The 23,221-nt window shown below is 40.6% G+C and overlaps 1 protein-coding gene across 8 annotated transcripts in view, besides 3 other annotated features; it reads right to left on the minus strand.

Annotated features, from left to right (window-relative positions):
- Positions 1 to 21,767, minus strand: part of PDZD8 (PDZ domain containing 8) — a 98,167-nt gene extending 76,400 nt beyond the window's left edge. For all 8 annotated transcript variants that reach the window (XR_945602.3, XR_007061943.1, XM_005269518.5 and 5 more), the window contains exon 1: positions 20,683 to 21,767. Coding sequence is in view for 6 of the 8 variants with exons in the window: in XM_005269518.5 (XP_005269575.1) it covers positions 20,683 to 21,554 (872 nt within the window). In the remaining 2 variants the exon portion in view is untranslated. The remainder of the gene's footprint in view (positions 1 to 20,682) is intronic.
- Positions 21,258 to 21,437: a silencer, noted in NCBI's record as "silent region_2859". NCBI's record gives its function as "represses an Ori minimal core promoter by ATAC-STARR-seq in GM12878 lymphoblastoid cells {active_cell/tissue: GM12878}" and the evidence as "EXISTENCE:reporter gene assay evidence [ECO:0000049][PMID:35858748]".
- Positions 21,538 to 21,857: a silencer, noted in NCBI's record as "silent region_2860". NCBI's record gives its function as "represses an Ori minimal core promoter by ATAC-STARR-seq in GM12878 lymphoblastoid cells {active_cell/tissue: GM12878}" and the evidence as "EXISTENCE:reporter gene assay evidence [ECO:0000049][PMID:35858748]".
- Positions 22,088 to 22,207: an enhancer, noted in NCBI's record as "active region_4099". NCBI's record gives its function as "activates an Ori minimal core promoter by ATAC-STARR-seq in GM12878 lymphoblastoid cells {active_cell/tissue: GM12878}" and the evidence as "EXISTENCE:reporter gene assay evidence [ECO:0000049][PMID:35858748]".

The raw sequence follows: 23,221 nt of genomic DNA on the forward strand, positions 1-23,221 counted from the left end.
TAATCGGGGGAGGGGTGTGTGGCAAGATGAACAAGAGTGGCCCTAAGTTAATTACTGGCTACAGACAAAGCAAGATGAGGGAGGGGGGTGAGGGGGCGGGGAGTGGCATTTACTGAACTATTTTCTTGACTTTTAAGTGAAGTATTCCAAAATGGAGAATTAGAAAAATTGTTCTGTATACTAAAACAATGTGGTTTCTGTCTTCCTGTTTCCTTTCTCTAACTTCCCTGAGCAACATCACTTGCTGTCACTGCTTTTATCACAGTTCATACATTGGTACCTAAAAATGAGTTAAACACCCTTTCTTCAAACTTGCGCCCTTCTCTCCTGCTTTCTCTTACTGGCACCACCAATTTCAAAGACACCTGGAAACCTGGAGGTAACCTTTTATTCCTCCTCTTCTCACAACCAATTAGTTCTATCCCCATTCCCTCCATTCATTTACTGTTAAAATGTCTCTTCTGTTGTTCTGTGTTCCTCATTGGCCTGATTTAGGTTTTCATTGATTGCGGAGAATGTTGGGATTTCTGAAATTGTTTCCTTTTCTTAAAAAGAGTACTTTCTTAAACCAAAAACAAAGCCTCTACCTTTTGTTGTTGTAAATAAAAAGCTACCTCACAGGACTATTACTAAGATTTAGAGTTCACACATGTGATACACCTAATCAAGTTCGTGGCTTGTTATAAGCACACAAATTCTGGTTTTCTTCTCTTCTTTATGCCAAAGTATTACTATTTCAAACTAGCTGTCTCACTGAATCTCTGAAGATCCTACAAGGCCCTCATTCTGTTCCTTTGTGATTTCTCCTACCCACAATATGCTCCTACCCCATCTCCCTATGTCTAAAGCTAAACTATTCTGTAAGTTACCTCAAATACCATCTCACCTGTTTAACAAATAGGCTTATTTGAGAATAGAGAGACCAGTCAAAGTTAGATACTCAGATACTGCAGTCATATTTCAGGCTCAGGAATACACACAACACTATATCCTTTCTAAGGGAGAGAGTAGAACGAGCAGCTATAAACAGGCAATTGAAAGTCCTATATGGTTTATGCTTTCAGTCGGAAAGTTTTGGCTCTATCACATTAGGAACTAGCAAACATAAATGTTCTCTTCAAATTCTCCTACACCAAATATATAAACTAGATAACTCAGTGAGTGATCATTTTAAAAATGTTTCTTCATTTATTATGCTTCAGAGCCAGTACTCCTTCAAATAATGAGTTCCCCCTGCTGCATTAAAAGTGTAATTTTCAAAACCTCTATTAGTTGTAACTTTTATGGCATACATTATCATGCAAACTATGGCACGCTAATACAAAACTAAGTGTAAGCCAGAAAGAAAACAAAGTACAATGGTTCCAAATACTCCTCATTTTCTGTGTTGGTAAATTATGAATCTAAATTTCAAATTTTCAATTTTACTTAGATACTTCAATTGATATATTAAAAGGACAATTCATACACAAGGCTCCTCTATATTCACCAAGGTTAGTACTGCTGTATTATTTCTCCTGAGAAACTGTACCTGCTAAACACTCTGATGCCATACGTAGCCTAGTCCTATGTGGTAAGCTTTTCACTGCTGAAGTTCTACTTCAGTCGCCTCCTGTCTGTAACCCGTCCCTCTCCTCTACCATCTGGTAATTGTTTCCTCTCCTGTGTTCTAAAAACACTTTATATATGCTCTGTTTTACTACTAGCCATACTATTTATGTATCTGTCTCCATCTTTCTAGCTTTCCTGCAAGATCCCCTCCTCCCAACTAAATTGTGAGTTGCTTGAGAAAAGAAAGCTTACATTTATAGACAATATAAAATAGAGGTTAAGAACAGACTCTGGAGCCACACAGCTTGGCTTGGAATCCTATTGTGTCACTTCCCAGCAATATAACCTTGAGCAAACTTCTGACCTTGACCAAAATCTGAGACTCGGTTTCCTCAGAGGCAAAAGGAGGATAACAATTACACCTACCTCACAGTGCTGTTACAAGAATTGCATTGAATAATGAAAAGCACTTAGTACCATGCCAGCAAACACTCAATAGACATTAGTTATTATTACTGTTCAGCTTAAATTCCTGGTATTTAACAAAATGCCTGGCACTTAGTATACCTCCACTGAAATAAAGAAGCTATTTAATGATATGACATATACCTTAAAATGGCATACTTTTAATTATACTACAATACTTACATTTTTCTGAAAATTTTCAGAAGTTTCTAGAAGAAATACCATTAAGGTGTTGTTATTACCATTAAGGTATATCATGTTAATACCATTAAGGTATATCATGTTCTATTTTTTAAAACTCTTAAGTTATTATATGCTCGTTTTTCTCTTTTCTAAGACCATAGGAGCCTTAAGTCTTAGAAAAGATAGTATCTGGATCTCATTCATCTTTAAGTCATTATAATGAATAGATCCAGATCTCAGTCTTATTTGTAAACTATCAACTGGTTGATTCCATCTTCAATCCTTTTTTTCTTCTGTGAACTGAGAGTTTCCTACAGATTCTATTTTTAGAGACAACTGTGTTAAATCTAAAATTGCCTAATATTTAACATAATTTTCTTAACATCATTTAATAAGTTAAAAAAAAGATGCTGAGACATTTGTGACATAAAAAAAGAAAAATAAGAAAAATTTAAAAAGGTAAAACTCAATTTGAAGGTTATCATTAAAATTTGAAAATAACTAAAGCAAGACACACGAATAATAATTTATTCCACAGAATGTTAGATGTGAAAGGTAATTCCACAGATATCCAAATATTTAAATCGTTTCATTTTACTGATGAGAAATAGTCTAATTAGACCTGAGTCTAAAAACACAGGTACACTCACATCCAGGCCCATGCTCTTTTAGGAATAAAGTTATATTTAAGTGTTCCCAACTAACAAGTTAACCATATTTGGCAGAAGTTATGTTATTGTTATTCCTGACCGCATTTACAAAAGCTAAATTAGGCTGGTGTGATAAGAGAATAATATGTACTTTACTATTAATCTATCATTAAGGTAGGCATCCTAATCTGGGGTTGGGGAGAGGGAAGTAATCAATGAAAAACAAATGAGAAAAAGAAAAATTAAAAATAACCCAGATAGCTTATAAGTCCGGGGTAATTACTGAGATTACTGTCTATTTGGAAAATGAGTTCATGTTGGCCTCCTCAAAGGCTTTGGAGTACACCCTGCTCCCCCTTTCCATGATATAGAATCTTTTATCTTTCAAAAAAACTAAGGTATTTTAAAATATAGCATGTTATTAAACTTACAACTTTTCATACAGACAAACTTTTTTTCCCAGTAAAAGCAATAAAGCAGTAAAATGTTTAAAGATAAGAAAAGAATGCATTCAAGTCTAAATTAATTTACAAAGTTGAAATAAAATACAAGATAATGCTTATGTTAAACTGCTATTTAGAAAATCAGGTCTGGGCACGGTGGCTTACGCCTGTAATCCCAGCACTTTGGAAGGCCACAGAAGGTGGATCACTTAAGGCCAGGAGTTCGAGACCAGCCTGGCCAACACAGTGAAACCCCCATCTCTACCAAAAAATACAAAAATTAGACAGGCGTGGTGGCATGCACCTGTAGTCTCAGCTACTTGGGAGGCTGAAGCACGAGAATCACTTGAACTTGGGAGGTGGAGGTTGCAGTGAGCCAAGATTGCACCACTGCACTCCAGCCTGGGTGACAATGAGACCCTCTCTCAAAAAAAGAAAATCAGGATACATTGTTGAACAGAGCATGATCACTGCTATGTAAAACAAACCAAAAGTCTGTGATTAAAAAAGCCTACAGGGGCCAGGCGCAGTGGCTCACGCCTGTAATCCCAACATTTTGGGAGGCCGAGGTGGGCAGATCACTTGAGGTCAGGAGTTTGAGAACAGCCTGGCCAACATGGTGAAACCCTGTCTCTATTAAAAATACAAAAATTAGCCGGGCATGGTGGCACATGCCTGTAATCCCAGCTACTCGGGAGGCTGAGGCAGGAGAATCACTTGAACCCAGAAGGCAGAGGTTGCAGTGAGCCCCGATCATGCCACAGCACTCCAGTCTGGGCAACAGAGCAAGACTTCATCTCCAAAAAAAAAAAAAAAAAAAAAAAAAAAAAAAAAAAAAAAAAAAAAAAAAAAAAAAGGCCTACACGATCAGGAAAATGTGAACACTATTTGGATACTTAATGACATTAGGTATTACTGTTAAAATTTATTTTATATCTGATAAAAATATGAGCGCTACATACTTAGTATTTACGGATAAAATACGTGGGATTTGCTTCAAAATAATCTATGGGATTAAGGAGGAAGGGGAGTTAGAGATAAACAGGATTGGCCGTGAGTTGACAACTGTTAAAGATGAGTGACAGATCATGACTGTTCATCTTACTATTCTTTTTACCTTAGAACTATGTTTGACATTTTTCATAATAAAAAGTCAAATAAAAAAGTTCCCTGTTTCTTAAACTGTACACTGGATATGATATAAAAGCATGAGTTCTGTAATCTTAGAGACCTGAGTTTCAATTTGAGTAACTCGTTTAACCTTTTGAATCTGTATTTATTCATTTATAAGTGAAATATCACTATTATGGTTTTACTGTGGGGATTCAATGGATAATATGCATATAAAAGTATAGTATTGTCCCAGACCAAAGCAGTAGTTCACTAAATTTATTAGGGTGGTGCAAACGTAATTGCGGGTTTTGCCATGTAAAAGTAATGGCAAAACCACAATTACTTTTGCACCAACCTATAGTCATCTTTCTTTCCCCCTCATCTCCCCTCTCTTCTTTCACGGACTATAAAATAGTCTTTTTTACTGATTGCTAACCCTTAGTCCTCACTGCTGCATTCCACACCTATTTTTAATACCCACCATCCCTTATCTTTCTCTTCCCTCTGATTTTCTTCTCCTGGGTTTTCATTTATTTATTCCTCACTTTCAGCTTCTTTTTGACAAGGCAGTTTAAAGTAGTATTAAATCAATACTTGGTCTTGAATTTTGGCTCTAATACTTACTAGCCTTGACACCTTTGGCAAGTTACTTGGAACTCTGAGAGCCCCAGTTTCTTCACCTATGAAAGAATACTAATAATAATAGCACTTATTTTATAGAGCTATGTAAGGACAAGGTAAGAAATTTCTCATAAGGCATCTGGCCCAGTGAGGTGCTCTAGAAATATTTCCTATCAAACCTTCTATTTATCTATATTAAGGATGAATTCCTACAGACATGTCAGGTAGCAAACTTCTTCCCTTCCACAAGGAACCACTTCAGGACTCAGCATTCACCATGTATGATGGTCCCAGTTCATGGCTGTTTGTCTTCCTTGGGCTTCAGATTCCATGTGGTGATGATTTCAGTCCCATGCTAGTTGATTTTTTTTAATTGCGTCCTTTGTGACGATATCATTTGTTAAGTGCAAGAGAACAAATTAACAATAGTCAGGGCCAGGCGTGGTGGCTGATGCCTGTAATCCCAGCACCTTGGGAGGCCGAGGTAAGTGGATGGATTGAGCCCAGGAGTTCGAGACCAGCCTGGGCAACATGGCAAAACCCCATCTCTACAAAAAAATACAAAAATTAGCTGGGCATGGTGGAGCATGCCTGTAGTCCCAGCTACTGGGGAGGCTGGGATGGTAGGATCACTTGAGCCCAGGCAGTTGAGGTTACACTGAGCCATGAGTGTGCCACTACACTCCAGCCTGGGTGACAGAGCGAGACCCTGTTTCAAAAACAACAACAGGCTAGGCACGGTGGCTCATGTCTGTAATCCCAGCACTTTGGGAGGCCGAGGCGGGCGATCACTTGAGGTCAGGAGTTTGAGACCAGCCTGGCCAACATGGTAAAATCCCGTCTCTACTAAAAATACAAAACATCAGCTGGGCATGGTGGTGCGCGCCTATAGTCCCAACTGCTCGAGAGGCTGAGGTGGGAGAATTGCTTGAGCCCAGGAGGCAGAGGTTGCAGTAAGCCGAGGTCGCACCACTACACTCCAACCTGGGTGACAGAGTGAGACTCCGTCTCAAAAACAAAAACAACAAACAAACAAAAAGTCAGCATGCCACCCTACCTTAGTTATCACCTTTGTATTTCTGCATCAAGTTTTATAACTAAGCTTATATTAAACTGAATATATTAAAAAACTGACTTCAGGAAACCCACAGAAAATTGTTCTATTTATGAAATTCCTTGAAGTGTACTATTCTTGGGGAAATTATTTTAATTTCTGTATTCCTACAGAGAAAAAAAAGTATTCCTGAATAGTTATGAAATTAATAAGAACAAGGATAACAAATACTGTTACAAAAAAAAAATTTCTCCTGCTCATCCATATACCCTCTACCTAATATAAAATGCTCACTTTTATCCAAGCTCCTATTTCTGCATAGAATGATCAAGGTCCAAAATGCCTCACAATTTTCTAAAGCAGTTTTTATATATATGCTGAACAAAAGAGTGATAATCAAGGCTGCAGGTCCCTCATAATAGAATTCAAAGAGCTGGTGACTAAAAGATGAGTCAATGTTAACTGATAGCCTATGCACCACAGAGGTAAGGTATCAAATGAGACGAGTTGCTCAGGGAACCAAAGTAATTCTCTTGACTATGTCTGGCAAATCTCATATCTTCTTATGTTCATCACAACCCACAATGTAAGGGTCCCTTACCATGGCCTATGATCAATTAAATCAAAATTCCCAGCTTTCACATAGCTAAAAAAATGGGCAAATCCAAACTCTTATTCTTTCCTGTTCTTCTCTACCAGCCCCCCAACACACACCATTGAATGAGAATATAAAAATGACTACTTTGAATGTTTCTAGCACTTCTGTAAATTATGCAACTCTGATATATGTCCTTGATTCTCACAACTCATAACAAGGTACAGTATAATAAACATTATTTGACAAAAGAGAAAGCTAAAGCAGCTTGTCTGTGATCACATAGTAAATGGTGCAGTCAAAACTAACAAATCCACTCAAGTAAATGGTGCAGTCAAAACTGTAACAAATCCACTCAACCTTGTGTCTTACAATACCAAGGTGTACAAGCAATACTAGATAGCAACTGAAAATAACGTATATATTTAATATTTATTAAAGCTCACTGAGAAAGTGAGGCAACAGAGGTGGCTCCTTTACATATGGTAAAAATAAATAAACTTCAGGTCAGACTAGCAGTTCTTATACATTTTGTTCTTAGGACTCCTATAAACTTTTAAAAATTATTGAGGATCCCAAAGAGCTGCTGTTCATGTAGATTATGTCTATTAACATTTTGCATATCAGAAATTACAAATGATAAAAATTTTAAACATAAGAATATATAAAGCTCACATTCCATTAGCTGTGAGGGTGATGATGTCACCACATATTTAATTTCTGTAAAATTTCACCATATATTTGCGAGAGAACAAGGGTGAGAAAGGCAGATAACATTTTTGTATTATTATGAAAATAATTGACTTGACTTGGTAGACTGCCAACCCCTCAAAGGTCTGGAACATCCAAATCACACTGTGAAAACCACTGAGTCAGACTGTAACGACTGAGTCGGGGCAATTTTTTTTTAAATTCTAAGCTGTAACCCATTACCTTACTTTAAGTATATTTTCTTACTACTAGATTTTTAAAAATACCTTGAAAGGACTGTGTTAATTTACTCCCTGTTAGCACTAACTGTCTCTGCAGTGTGTTGCTCTCTGGACAAAGATGGTGTTAAACATTTACTGAATAAATTGAATCTCTTCTGAAGTCTTGTGTACTCTGGACAAAGTTGGTGTTAAACATTTACTAAATAAACTGAATCTCTTCTGAAGTCTTGTGGACTGAAAGAGAAAATACTTTAAAGCAAAATTACCACCTCCCTACTATGGTAAAGACATGAACACTGAAGTTTATGAAACAGAAATCTGGTCTTCTTTAGCTAGTCAGGTGTTATCAAACAGACAAAAATTCCTTTCCAAATATGAAGGGACAACAAAAAATCTGAATAAGACAAATAAGGAGAAGTTAACATAGCCCTCCACGTCTATGGGTTCTGCATCCTTGGATTCAACTAACCCCAGATTTAAAAAAAAGACTGTTGCGACTGTACAGAACTTGATGTACAGATCTTTTGTTTTTATCATTATTCACTAAACAATATAGTATAAGAACTATTTATATAGCATTTACATTGTATTAGGCATTATAAGTAAACTAGAGATGATTTAAAGTATACAGGTGGATATGCTTAGGTTATATGCAAATACTATGCCATTTTATATCAGGGACTTGAGCATCTGTGGATTTTGGTATCCTGGTGGAATGGGGAGGGTCCTGGGACCAATCCCCCTTGGATACTGAGGGATGATTATGTTTTAAGGTTATAACTGTCCAGCTTTCTCCTAATTTTTCCCTATCCAAATAAAAGTAAAACATCTTCTAAAGTACATAAATGATTTTAATACTATCTGTATCTCTGCATCTGCTAGTTTATAAGTACCTAACTCAAGTTAGAACTTATTAAAGGAAAATATTTATTGGGTAAAGTTTGTATATCCTTATTTGAGAGAAATCCCTACATTAAACCTATGCCAGGATAAGATGCAGCCTGCAGAAATAACAGCAAAGTGAATAAATAATGCCATCTTACATTTACATAATTCTTTTCTCTAAGAACTTTTAAAACTTTAGATTTTTCATTTCATTTAGTCTCAAAATAACAAGTTGCATGACTTGTCCAAGGATATACTAAACCAACAAATCAGTAGTAATTCCAGAAATAAAACAGGAATTCCTCATCTTCTAATCCTACTCTTTCAGGGCAAGAGGCCAAGTTACTTTCAAGAGAAATCATAAGAGCACAGATATCCTCTAGACTCTAAGAATAATTACTAAGAGTCTGGTTCAATAAATGCTTGTTGAGTGGCATGATTCTCAGAATTACTGAGTCCAAATTCTAACTCTGTAGTATTAAAAAGTTCAAATATTTTGAGTAAGCAACTTACTCAAATATTTTAAGTAGATAATTTACTCACTTTAAGTAAGCAATTTACCTAAAATGGGCTATAATTTAGATACACTGTATTCACTGACTTTATTTTACAGACTGTCAAGAATTTTCTCTTTACATTTCATTAATCTCAAAATATCTGAAGTAAATTCAGTTTGTACTACCTACCACTCCAGCATTAGTAAACAAAAGGACACATATTTTACTACAAATATTTAGTTAAATTCTTCCCATGGCAAGAGTTTGCCATTCTGGTCTCGATTAAAATCCAAAGAATTAAACATTAAGAACTAACAAGATTTCCAAACACTGAAATACATCAGATATCACCTGTCCTAAATTTTACAGAAAATAATATTATACTTAGTAATGGTGAGAACAAAATAAGATTTTCAGTGCATTATAAAAATAATTACCATACAAATGAAATTTGCTATAACAGAATGGCTTTTATTTCAGCCACAGCAGGTTTCAGAGAACAAAAAGCTTTGAATTATTTATTTGCATGACCAAATGACTAAGGTAGTAAGACCGTATAGTCAGCAACCACATCCTTAGTAATAAGTGTTAGTATAATCCCGTATGTATGAAAGACTATTGTGTAAAAAGGACAAAAAATTAGCATACAACACAAACACCAGATGCACTATTCAGAAGATATTGATGTCTCCATGAAAGTTGTATCTGAGAACAGAACATAGTCATTTTTCAAAATAGAGATTCTTGTAGCCAGCTACTAAATAGAAATTGTATCTCCCCATCACTACTACTTAAGATTTCACAGCAAAAAACAATAGTTATTTATAACTGTAGATTATACAGGTAGGATATTATAGAGTTCATCCTAGGAGAAACACCATTTCTAAAAAGTAGTTAGGTTGCAAGTTTCTGTTTAACTGGTAACTTATCAATGACCCAAGTATACATAATAGATACTTAATACAGAAGAATAAACCCAATGAGGATATTTTTACTATGCTATTCAAGCGTTTTTGTTTTTAAGTACATACCAACAAGAACTATTAATGCTGAGAAGTGAAAAATTTTCTAGCTTTTCTATCAAAGTTATGCAAATCAAAGCCCAGACATTCAGTACCCCACCCACCATATCATCAGCTCCATTCTCCCTACAATACATGAAGAATTCACAGGCGTAAATACTCAATGTGCTGATTACAGAATAAAGAGAAATGTGTTCTAAAGCATTGTGATTTCATGAAAATTGGCAATTATATACCAGACTAGTAAAAGCAAGTTTGTTATTCTATATCAATCCAAGAAAAGTATAATCTACAGTTTATCAATATTGACCTTTCTAAAAATGTGAAATTAAAAATCAAGTCTTCTGGAGTGTCAGAGAAGGTTGCAAACACATATGTGTTTAGTATTTTGTTTGTGTGTGGGAATGGGAGAAGGATACTGTGCCAGTATGGTGCCTGGACAGACCTTGAATTCAACATGGTTAACTGCTGGAGACCACAATCAACATAATTTATGGGTGTGTGTGTGTGTGTGTGTGTGTGTGAGAGTGTGTGTGTGTCTGTGTGTCTGTCTGTCTAAAAAGAAGCCACTCTCCTTCAATACTGATTTCACAATAGTATGGGTTACATGTCATCAGCCTGTGTTTATAATGACAACGTTTAACCATAAAAAATGTTAAAATATGTTCCATAAATTATGTTTAAGAAACCAAAATCACAGCACTCAGATACATGTTTCAGTTCACTTTGTGAAAATTCATCACTGTACATTTAGGAGTGGGACAGTTTCTATACGCACACAGACAGACACACACGCACACACACACACGCATATTTCCGTAGGAAGTCTGAGCAAAAAAAAATTCCAGCATTTAAAGGGCTAAACCACTATTTTTTTTAACATAATATGTTGAAAGGTGATATTTAAGAGGGACCTAAAAAATGTTGGAGTGAGCTCTTTGGCTATCTGTGGGAAAAACACTCCAGAAGAAGGAATAGCAAAGGCCCTGTGGTGGGAGCATACCTGAGAACAGCAAAGAGGCATGAACAGATTAAGTGAGAAGTGGTGACGAAAGATAAGGTCAGAGGCAGAGAGAATGGCTGAGAGTAGAGAAAAGCAGTAAATGAGATGGATTTATACATATTATCTGAAGGGACATCCATGTTACACTTCACAGAATAATTTGGAGGGTCACATTCATATTATAGTCTCATTTTACTAAGGGCAGAAGGAAGGAGGGAGTGAAAGTGGGGGCAGGAGGGAGGGAGAGGGAAGAAGGTAAGAAGAGGAAGAGAGAGAGGCACCTCCTCAATATATATAAGAGGCTTGTATATGTATGCTTGAGCATACAGTTAGGTTTAGACCTCAAACTTAACATGGGTATATCAGGGGATGAAATCAAAATGGAGAGGAGATTTTTAACTTCTTTATGCTCCTCAATACTATACAAATATATGCCAAAAAAAAAATGGCCAAAAATAACCAACAAAATCTACCATCTACACAGAGATACAGGTAGAAGGATGTTTATGGTGCCATTATTTACATTAGTGAGAAACTGAAAAATTAACAAGGAATTGGTTAACTTATGGTACTAATGGTCAATGTAATTATAAGCATCTGTTAGAACAAATGAAGTAGGTATATATAGAAAACTCAAGATACAGTAAGTTTTTTAAAAAAAGATGCTAACAATGAAGTATTGAGTATGATCCTGCCTTTATAAATTAATAGCAAATTATAATACATTTAGAAAAATATGGAAGAATAGTTCCCGAATTTAACAATAGTTTTAAGAAAAGATATTACAGAAGATTTTCACTTTGATACTACATATTTTCTAACAGCTTGAATTTTTAAAGTGAGTTTGTCGCTCATTTGAAAGGGAAAAGAATATAATGTGTCACCTAGAAAATATCTGATATATATCTAGTAAAATTAGTACTGCTCATCTAAAGGTAAATAATTAACGTGCATATCACATTTTTCCCTAGTACAAATACAGGAAGTGTACAGTTTTATGCCAGTCTTAGCAATTTGGCAAGAGAGATTTTGAAACTACTCTGTAAAACACCTGCTAATGACCAGGTAGTTGGCTTTAAAACTTTCCAATTAAGTGTGATGTGCTCTGATGCCATGCCAAAAAAGTGTCAGTACGTCCTATGACTCTGAGGTAAGAACAAAGTCATTTAATAATACTTGTTTCCTGGTGACACTGTTCTGAGAAAACAGAGAATATCATGGGAAGAAATGTTGAGTCAGTATTTAACTTTTAAACAAGGTATTTAGTAATAAGAACTCTAACTTGAAATTTCATATATTCTTACTGAACTATTGATCTAGAGTCCCTCAGCCTGCTATATGAAATCTTAAGAGGAAAAAAAAAAGAATCAAAAAGACATACACTTCATAGGATAGAGAGAGGGATTACCCCCTCCTCCAGCATTTTTAGAAACGCCTGAGCCATATGAATCCTATATACATTTTAAGAAGGTAAGCAAAATAATGAAGTGGTTAATATTGATTTCAGCATGTTAGTTTTAGTTATGTTTACGGTAACAAAGTTGTATACTTCTGTTTGTGTTTATTTTTCAACCTAAAGTCTAAGGACCCTAAAAAAGCTTCAAGGGAACTATGAACTTAAATGAAATATTTTTATGCAGAAAATTTGTTTTCTGCAGAAATTTTCTGCAGGTTTCCAAAGGACAGGACCCTCAAAGACTTAAAAGTACTTTCAATGTACACATATATAGCTTCTTTTTTGGTAAACATTGTAACTGTTGAGGGGGGTGTATTTTTAGGGTTTTTTTTTAAAGTTTAGAGCAGGGATCAGTGAATCTTTTCTGTAAAAGGCCAGATAGTATTTGTGGGTACATAAGGTCTGTCACTACCACCACCACTACCACCACCACCACTGTCACCACCATTACCACCACCACCACCACCACCAGTACTTCTTTTAACAACGTCAAATATAAAGTTTAAGAATGTAAAAACCATTCTTAATGCAGGGGCCTAACAGCAGCTAGTTTGCAGACCCCTGATTTAGAGTAACAGTTGGTTTATCTCTGAAGAAATAATAGAGCATGAGCTCTGGAAGTCCAGGACCTTTTACATTTAGGACTTTATATCACTAATCCTCCGTAAATCGCATATTTCCACATCTGTAAAACTGAGATACCAACCTCTCCCACATAGGAGTTTTAACTATTGAGATTGCAACTGCATGGAAATGCCCACACAGTGCCTAATGAATACTTAGCAAACAGTGTTTTATTAGCCCCACCCTGCTCATATGATAGATTGTTAGTAATACTTGTAAGTCAACGTTTAGTATTTGATCAGGCATGCTCCTTCAACACAATCTACTTTATAATGATCTGCTTTGGCTATTTCCAGGAAGAAACTGTGGCTTTTTGGGATAGCCAATATACTTGTACATTACTGATTTGAATTTATAGCCTCCCGGCAGGGTGTGAATCACACCTGTAATCCCAGCATTTTGGGAGGCTGAGGCGGGGGGATCACTAGAATCCAGGAGTTGGAGACCAGCCTGGCCAACATGGTGAAACCCTGTCTGTACTAAATATGTGAAAATTAGCCGGGTGTGGTGGCATACGCCTACAATCTTAGCTACTTGGGAGGCTGAGGCAGGAGAACTGCTTGAACCCGGGAGGTGGAGGTTGCAGTGAGCCAATATAGCGCCACCGCACTCCAGCCTGGGCAAGAGTGAGACTCCGTCTCAAAACAAACAAACAAACAAACAAACAAAAATTATAGCCTCCTCAAAATGACTATTCTCCCCTCAATGAATAAATCAAATTTCTAGAGCAAAGATGTAATGTATCAATACATTATTCTCCATCTAAAGTGTTTTAAAAGCTGAAATTAAAATAATTCAAAGCAGCTGGAGGAAATCCAATGTGCAAGAAGTAAAATCAGCACTAAACTGGGTATTTAGGTGGAGTACACTTAGGTGTGCTAAGAAAGCTAATGTGGTGGCTCATGCCTGTAATCCCAGCACTTTGGGAGGCCGAGGCAGACAGAGCACCTGAAGTCAGAAGTTCAAGACCAGCCTGCCCAACATGGCAAAACCCCATCTCTACTAAAAATAAAAAAATTAGCTGGGCATTGTGGCACACGCCTGTGGGAGGCTGAGGCAGGAGAACTGCTTGAACCTGGGAGGCGGAGGTTGCAGTGAGCCGAGATCATGCACCTGCACTCCAGCCTGGGCAACGAGAGAGGAAAAAAAAAAAAGCTAAGGTCACAATGCATTACATACGGTACCACAGTAATCAGGTGTTTGCCTTAGCAGAGCAGAGATATTGATCTCTCCTGTTCCAGTTTCTCACAAAACTGAAGGGCTTAAATATTTCCAATGCCACTAAAATAAGCTTTATGTGTTCTTTGTTTTCCCTAGAAAGACTAACCCTATAATAGCATGAACTAGTTTATAACCATTTTTATCACGTTTACTATACCCACCGCAACACTAGGTAGTATGCACTAAGCACTTACTGAAGATAAATGACTATTTTTTAAATGACATAATTATTCATCTCTAAGACAATGATCTTGCAATTCAACTTATACAGAGATATGACGAGATATAGAGATATGAGCAACAGTACAAGAAAAAGCACAACAGGTTAAAAATTAGCTATTACAAGATTATTCCAGCATAGCTAGAGTAATGCACAATGCCATTGTCTATTCTCCCCAAATATTAAAGGTTAGATTTCCTATCAACATTAGTAAGTAAAACTGTCACTATTATAACCATCAAGGAATTTTAGTAGCTATTTTAAAATATTTTCCAATGTAATAGAAAGGAAAAAAGTATGAAAAAGTAAATAAATACAACATATTACACTTGACTTTACAAATGATTTTGTCAGTTTTCTGTGAATTTACTTTGAAAGATTTTGAGATACGGATCACTCAATTCATTAAATTCAAATATACTGTCAATAAGTTGATGCCCCCCTTTTTGGAGATCAGTGAAGTAAATGCTTACATAGTTATTAATGACCCATTCCACTAAAGCAAACTATCCACCAAACTCGAACAAAAAGGAGACACTATCTACTTACCATCACTACATGGTAGAAAAATGGATTGCATTTCAAGGCATTTTTTTTTTTCTGGCAGAGTGACTTTTTAAAATTCAACATTATATTGACAATGTTTTTTTTTTTTTTTTTTTTTTTTGAGACAGTCTCACTCTGTTGCCCAGACTGGAATACAGTGGCGCAATCTTGGCTCACTGCAACCTCCGCCTCCTGGGTTCAAGCAATTCTCATGCCTCAGCATCCCCAGCAGCTGGGACTGCAGGTGCGTGCCATTTTTAGTAGAAGCGGGGTTTCACCATGTTGGCCAGGCTGGTCTCGAACTCCTGACCTCAAGTGATCCACCCACCTTGGCCTCCCAAAGTGCTGAGATTACAGGCATCAGCCACCACGCCAGGCCTGACAATGTCTTTTATTTATTTATTTATTTATTTTTACTTTTTGAGATAGAGTCTTGCTCTGTTGCCCAGGCTGGAGTGCAGTGGTATGATCTCGGCTTGCAGCAATCTCTGCCTCTCGGGTTCAAGCGATTCTCCTGCCTCAGCCTCCTGAGTAACTGGAATTACAGGCATGTGCCACCATGCCCAGCTAATTTTTGTATTTTTAGTAAAGATGGGGTTTCGCCATGTTGACCAGGCTGGTCTCGAACTCCTGACCTCAAGTGATCCGCCTGCCTTGCCCTCCCAAAGTGCTGGGATTACAGGAGTGAGCCACCGCACCTGGCCAACAATGTCTTTTAAAAAATAAAATTGCTCTATGACAGTCCCTTCAAAAATGTAATTAAAAGAAGGATAAAAATGATCACTCTCCCTCTCCACTCCAGCTATTAAGTCTTCTCATTTTCACTAATCAGCAACAGTAATGCTCCCTATTTACTCCTCCAGTACGGGTCTCAAATTCATATAACTCCAAGCCAGGCAAGTACCATCAATTAAGCACAGCAAATAAGGGGGGACTATAAACTCCACCTAGGAGCTTACACACCGAGTTTCAACCCCAAAGCTGCTACTACAGTCCATCTCTCCATCCTGTTGTTGCTCTGAGAAATGCAGCACTGGCGCTACAAGATATTCCAATTTTTCCTAACAGAAGCCACAAATCCAAAACACACAGAATTTTCCATTTTTTAAACAGTGCAGGCCAAATTAAAAGTACCTGCAAACTGAATCTGCTTGTCTATATACAATAATACTCCAGGAACACAAGCATCCGTAAGAATCTCAAATATTTGACTCCTAAACCCTAAACAGAGCTCCCCACCCAGACACTATTACTCAGACTCCATGTTTAAGATGAATTATCCACGTAGTAAAAGAACATTAGTGGTAATCTTTCTCCCTTGAGGATGGATTCTGAGGTTCATTTAAAAAAATATATTGCTATTATAATATACTATTTTAATTAAAAAATCAAACCAATTAACATTGAGGTGGATGAATGAAATTCCTAACTTGAATAAATCTGTAAACATATTGTCTACATATTATAATTCATTTTGTAAAATAAAATGTTTTACAAACATTGTAAGTTTGTTAACTTGGGTAAAATGAAATGTCAGTCAGCTGGGTCCTTAGAAAGCAACCACTTGAGCAACTTAGCATCTCTAGGTGAAACATCAGGAACTGGCAGTCCAGAGAGGCTGATTCACTTTAGCAACACGAAAAAGGCAAAATAAATGAAGGGGGAAAGAAGTAATAACAACGTTAACTGGCAAGATATTTGTTATGTAATGATTACAAATGCCAAAGGATCGTAAGACTCCATACAATTCTCTTTACTGCTTTAGCTCTACTAAGAAGATTAGATAGCTAAAAAAGAATAAACTAGGCCGGGCACAGCGGCTCACACATGTAACCCCAGCACTTTGGGAGGCCGAGGTGGGTAGACTGCCTGAAGTCAGGAGTTCGAAACCAGCCTGGCCAACATGGTGAAACCTGTCTCTTCTATTTGGAAACACAATTCTGCTCAATTAAAAAAGAAATGCCACGTGGGACAGTACCCAAAGATTTAGCCTCATGATTTACTTTTAAAAGGATCCTCTAAAATGACCAATTTAAGAAAAAAAAATCAGCTTTATAGTCATACTCTTCTCAAGAGTTCTAGGTTAGTTTGGAAAGATATCCCACATATTTACTATATCGATGGCATGCTTTTAAAAAATAAATCACTTAAGAACAACATAGTTTGTGTGTGTGTGTGTGTGTGTGTGTGTGTGTGTGTTTAAAGGTGGCCTGGCCTTATCAGAGCTGCGTTTCAACACTTGAAAGCTGTGTGACTTTAAGCAAGTTATTTAACTACTCCGAGCTCCATTTCCTCATCTGTAAAAAAAGATGAACACTAGCTAGTTTAATTTTCCCTGTGAGAAGTATGCTATATCTTAGATGTATTGTAATTCATTCTTATCTGAAACTTGAATCAGTCCCACATCATCACCAGTTTGTTTATTTATTTATTTACTTATTTATTTTGGAGACGGAGTCTCACCCTGTCGCCCAGGCTGGAGTGCAGTGGTGCGATATCGGCTGGCTGCAACCTCTGCCTCCCAGGTACAAGCCATTTTCCTGCCTCAGCCTCCAGAGTAGCTGGGATTACAGGCGCCCGCCACCACGCCCAGCTAATTTTTGCATTTTTACTAGAGACGGGGTTTCATCAGGTTGGCCAGGCTGGTCTCACACTCCTGACCTTAAGTAATCCGCCTGTCTCAGCCTTACAAAGTGCTGGGATCACAGGCGTGAACCACTGCACCTGGCCCATCACCAGTTTAAAACACTGGACAGAACAGCTACACAGACAAGAAGTCATCACTTGCTGAGGCAGCCCTTTTCATCGTCATACTTGCTATTTTCTTCTACTAAGCTAAAACCGGCTTCCTGGCTACTTCAACCCCATCAATCCCATTCTAGTTTAAATCTTACAAAGCGCCGGGCAAGGTGGCTCACACCTGTAATCCCAGCACTTTGGGAGGCTGAGGTGGGAGGATCACTTGAATGAACCCAGGAGTTCCAGACTAGCCTGGGCAACAAAGCAAGACCTATCTCTACAAAAAAAATTTTTTTTTAATTAGCCAGGAGTGGTGGCACACACCTGTGGTCCTAACTACTTGGAAGGTTGAGATGGGAGGATTGCTTGAGCCCAGGAGGTCGAAGCTGCCGTGAGCCATGATCCTGACACTGTACTCCAGCTCTGGGCAACCGAACAAAATCCTGTCTCAACAAACAAACGAAAAACACAAAAAAATTACTAAGTATAGCTAATTCAATTCTCACTAGACTCTAAGCTTCCTGAGGGCTGAGTTCAAGTATTGTTCAGTACTGAAATCCCAGCATCTACAACAAGGATAAGCATATAGCAGGTGTACAATAAACATTTACAGATTGAGTGATATGCTCTGTGCAGCTGACTGAGCATTGAGATGCCATCCAGTATAAATAGCACAGATGTGCATACTTCTGGAAATGATCATTTAATGCTTCACATTTAGAAGTTGAAATATCATAACCAAATTCATGCTGTTTTTAAAAAAATCCCTTCAAAGTGAAAAGCAATTTTGCCATACTTTTAAATGGTTGTTATTCAATGATACAGATAATAGTTTTTCAAAGTAATAAACTTCTCAATGCCTCCATAACTTATTCATAACTTACTTCAGATTTACCTAAATTCCAAGTCTACATTAAAAAAAAAATCTCAAAATGATATGTAATCTCACTGTCATTGGCTAGTCTACAAATTTCAAAATAATAATCTAGTCAAATTGTATTAACTGAAAGCTATCAGAAAACATCATAATTGAAGTTGTGATAGAATACCAAAATTTCTAGCAACTTTTTCTCATGACTTTTTTGGCAACACACTGCTATAAATAAACATCTCTCACTGCTTAAACACTAGAACCGAGTTATAATTTAATCACTGATATTCCAGAGGTTAAAAGTAGGTTTCATAAAGTATGTTCTACTTCACAGAACCAGAAATCGAACACAGTGAACAACCAGTTCACCACCCTCCGCAAATCTATGGAAATATTTCCATTACAAAGTAAATTTCTCCTGCCACGCAAGTTTTAAACTGTCACTCTGCGCTGTTAGCCTAAACAAAACATAATTGGTAAGGTACATCTGCCACATACAGAAGTCAATAATCCATTCCAAACCCAAAATATTTCTGGATTATCTTGCTCCTGAAAATTGACACTGGTAGAAAATTAGTGATCCAGAAATAGGCAACTTCCACTAAAAGGCAAGTAAAATTAGGTAAGTAAAATACAAGACTGACATAATTTTATAATAAAGGGCAAAATTTTAAAGGCTCAAATGTCTTAGTGAATACAAAATTAAAGGAGGACCGAAAGAGAAGTTAAAAATTCAGCTTTTTACAAAAGAAAAAGCACCTTCCACTCCACCTCTAGCCCTAAAAAAGTCTTTCCCCTTCCACTCCTACAATATTAAAACAAAATTTATATACTACTCAAAACTGTATACCACAAAATTTAAGCCATCAGATGCTGGAAGGCTTAAACAAAATTAAAATCACTACCTAGCATTAAAATACAATTTGTACAGTGACTTCAGGTCCCTTGAGAGAAGAACTTACAGTCACAGAGAGTAAATGCTTGATGGGCAGAGTCTGGATCTGTGTTCTACAATCTACCCAAAATGGGCAAATGACATTAATACAAAATGTAAAGTACACTATGTACAGGCTCCCAACTCCTTTCCCATCTGCTGTGGAAAGTATTCCCGGGCCGGGCGCGGTGGTTCACTCCTGTAATCCTAACACTTTGGGAGGCCGAGGCAGGCGGATTACTTGAGGTCAGGAGTTCGAAACCAGCCTGGCCAATACGGTGAAACTCCGTCTCTACTAAAAAATACAAAAAAAAAAAAAAAAAAAAAAAAAATCAGCAAGGCGTGGTGCCATACGCCTGTAACCCCAGCTACCTGGGAGGCTGAGGCAGGAGAATCGCTCGAACCTGGGAGGCAGAGGTTGCAGTAAGCCGAGATCGCGCCACTGTACTCCAGCCTGGGCGACACAGCAAGACTCTGTCTCAAAAACAAAAACAAAAAAAACCCACAAAAGTATTCCTTTGCAAGAGTTACCACCTCTGCCTTGAAAGGTGTCAAACCATCAAAGCAAAAGTGGCTTGCAATGTCAAATTAGCACAGACCTGGGCTATAAGCACACTCTTCACGCGTGTACTGTGTCCAGGAACAATTTCTCAAAGCGGCCAAGGGGATGCTGCAAAGCCAGTGACGCGGCTGCCCTCAATGCAGCAACCACATAGAGGGAGAGTTTCTCAACAGTCCCAGAAGCGACTCCTGGGGATTAGGGTAGGCTTCCCTTCCATTTCCAATATGCTGCTTATAAAAGGAGACGATTCTGCCCGCGTTGACAGCACCCTGAGTCCCCATGAACACGCGAAAAGGTTTCTAGCTCCTATCAATGCCGTTCGGAAGCAAAGCAAGTGTTCACGACTCGCCTTGATCTGGGGCCCTGTCCAGGGTGGGAAGGCCCCAGAAGCAGGCGCCAGGACAGAAATGAGCCTTTGCCCTTCCCAATCCACGCAGCGTCCCGCCCAGGCCCGGGTTCCCGGCAGCCAGGCCCCCTCCCCGACCTCCAGCTCACCTGATCTTGTAATTCGGTAGGGTGTGCTTGCGCTTGATGATCTTCTTGAGCTGGTTGACGATGATGGAGGTGAGCTGGGGCATGGGCCGCCCTTCAAACTGGGAGCGCACCTCGAAGTCGATCAGCGGGTCTTCCACGAAGGAGAAGAACCAGTGGGTGAAGGGCACGCGCGTAAAGACCAAGCGCAGCCTTCCCACCACGCGGGACAGCTTGACAAACAAGTAGGCGGACTTGCCGAAGACCAGGTCCACGTCGATGGCCAGGTGGAAGCCCCCGTTGTACTCCACCTCCGCCTCGAAGGCCAGCTCCTCGGGGCAGGCGGCGGGCAGCGCCTCCCCTTCAGGGCCATCGGGCTCCCCGGTGGCCGAGGGCACGACTGGCCGCACGAGCCGGATGGTCTTGATGAAGGGCACCGTCTCGCCCAGGAACACGTCCCGCAGGCTCAGCCCCTCCAGCAGGCGCCCGGCCGTCTTGGTCTGCAGCAGCTCCTCGAACTCCACCTTGATCTTCTTGGTGACCCAGCGGCGGGTCAGCGCGGTGTCCCGCAACTCCCGGAACAGGAATAGGATGGTGGCGTTGAGGAAGTAGCAAGTCTCCCGCGTCGGCGGGGCGGGGGTCTCGGGGGCCGCGGTGGGGGTCGCGCCGCCCTCAGGGGCCGCTCCGGAGGGCTCCTCATCCCGGCCGCCGCCATAAAGGTACTCCCTTAGGAGCAGGCCCGGCACTGGCTTGATGTAGCGGAAGCCCTCGCCCGCGCGGGCGGCCTCGTCCGCCGGCGGCTCGGGCTGTCTGCGGTACAGCAGGAAGAACTGGGCGAGGAGCGTGAGGAAGGAACCCAGCACGGCCGACGCCAGGATCATGAGCAGCAGCCCCATCCCGCCACCGCCTCCGCCCGGGCCCCTACTCCCGCGCCCACAGCGCCGCTTTCTTCACGCCGCCGCCCCCGCTGCCTCCATTTTGAGGACATCGGGCGGCTGGGTCGGGGCGAGCGGCTCCGTGGGCCTCGTCCAGGGGCTCGGGCCGGCGCGCTGCGGCGCCCGAGCCCGCAGCGGCCCGCGCCTCCTCAGACGCTCCCGAAGGGCCGGTGTGGCGGCGGCGGCAGCGGGGCCGGGACCGGCGCCTCCCTCAGGCCTCCACTCATTGGACGAGCAGCGCGTGACGTCAGAGGCGTGCTCGCTCCCGGCGGCGTCGCCCAGCAGTCGGCGCCCGGGCACGCGGACGCGGGTCCTCCTTTACTTCTCTGCGGCCCTTCCAACCTCGTCCCCCCACGCCAACATTCCAATCCCCGCGGCGCGCGCCGCCACCCACGTGGCCGTCACTTCTGGAGCTGCGGTCGGGATCTGGGAGGACGGCTGGGGACGCGGGCTGGAGGATAAGGCGGTCCGGCGGAGCGGGCCTGACGCGTTCCGGATGCCGGCCATCCCGTTATCCTCGGCTGCGCCCATCCCCCGTCTCTGGCCGCAGTCCCCGCGGTTACCTCTGCAGCGGCGTCGCTCATCCTGCGGTGTGCTTCTTCCACTCGCACCCGTGACAGCCCGGCTGGCAGCGGCGCTTTCCCTGCGGGCAGCACCGCAGACGATCCGAGCGGGCCTTTCGGACGCTTCCCAAGCCCACGGCGAGAGGGGACCGACTGCCTCAGAGGCAGCCATCGCGGACCTGCCGTCCCCCCGGCAGACGCTCTGCGTCCGCGGAGGGTGGGCCCTGGGAAGGAGGGACGCAGGGAAAGGGCGCGCCACGCGGAATGACTTTCCCACCGAGGTGGATCTTCGAAATTTCAGGGAGGAGGAAGTTGAAAGAACAGCCAGGAGGAGAGATGCATAGTGAAACGAGTTTGCCAAGTGATTGGAAGATTAATATGCGACCCGCTGTCAGTCTCTGGTTAAGCCGGTAGTCCATCTATGAGGCAGTTATTCACTGTTAGCCCCCACCCACTTGACAGATGCCAACACTGGTGCAGAGAGCGTGGGGAGGTTGCGTGGGGCCGCAGAGTGGAGCCTGGTTTATCTAACACTAAACCCTAATGTCTTGATCACTACTCTCTGCCCTAACACAGAAACTGCTTCAGTTGTAAGCAGGCCAGTGGGTTCCCTAATGTTCAGGAAGGGAGAATTGGGGAGGCGGATTAGGGAAGACGGCAAGGAATTTTGCATAGAGTAGCACCTTAACCAAAGCCACGAAGCTAAGCCAGGTTGCCCAGCAACAGCGTTACTCCTCCTGCCCTCTGACTACTTAGTGGTTACATCATAAATGCTTATCCCTCCAAGCACGTGGAGTTCCAGTCCTGCAGGAGTCAGATATCCCATACCTTAAAGGCCGATTCTGGCTGTACCTAAGGAGCCAGGGCAGGGCTCCTCTCTAGCCCTTGAAAACCTTCAAGCCGGCCGGGCGTGGTGGCTCACGCCTGTAATCCCAGCACTTTGGGAGGCCGAGGCGGGCAGATCACGAGGTCAAGAGATCGAGACCAGCCTGGCCAACATGGTGAAACCCGTCTATACTAAAAATACAAAAATTAACCGGTCGTGGTGGTGCGCGCCTGTAGTCC

The sequence above is a fragment of the Homo sapiens genome, chromosome 10 (genome assembly GCF_000001405.40).
Source record: "Homo sapiens chromosome 10, GRCh38.p14 Primary Assembly".
Taxonomy (NCBI): Eukaryota; Metazoa; Chordata; class Mammalia; order Primates; family Hominidae; genus Homo; species Homo sapiens.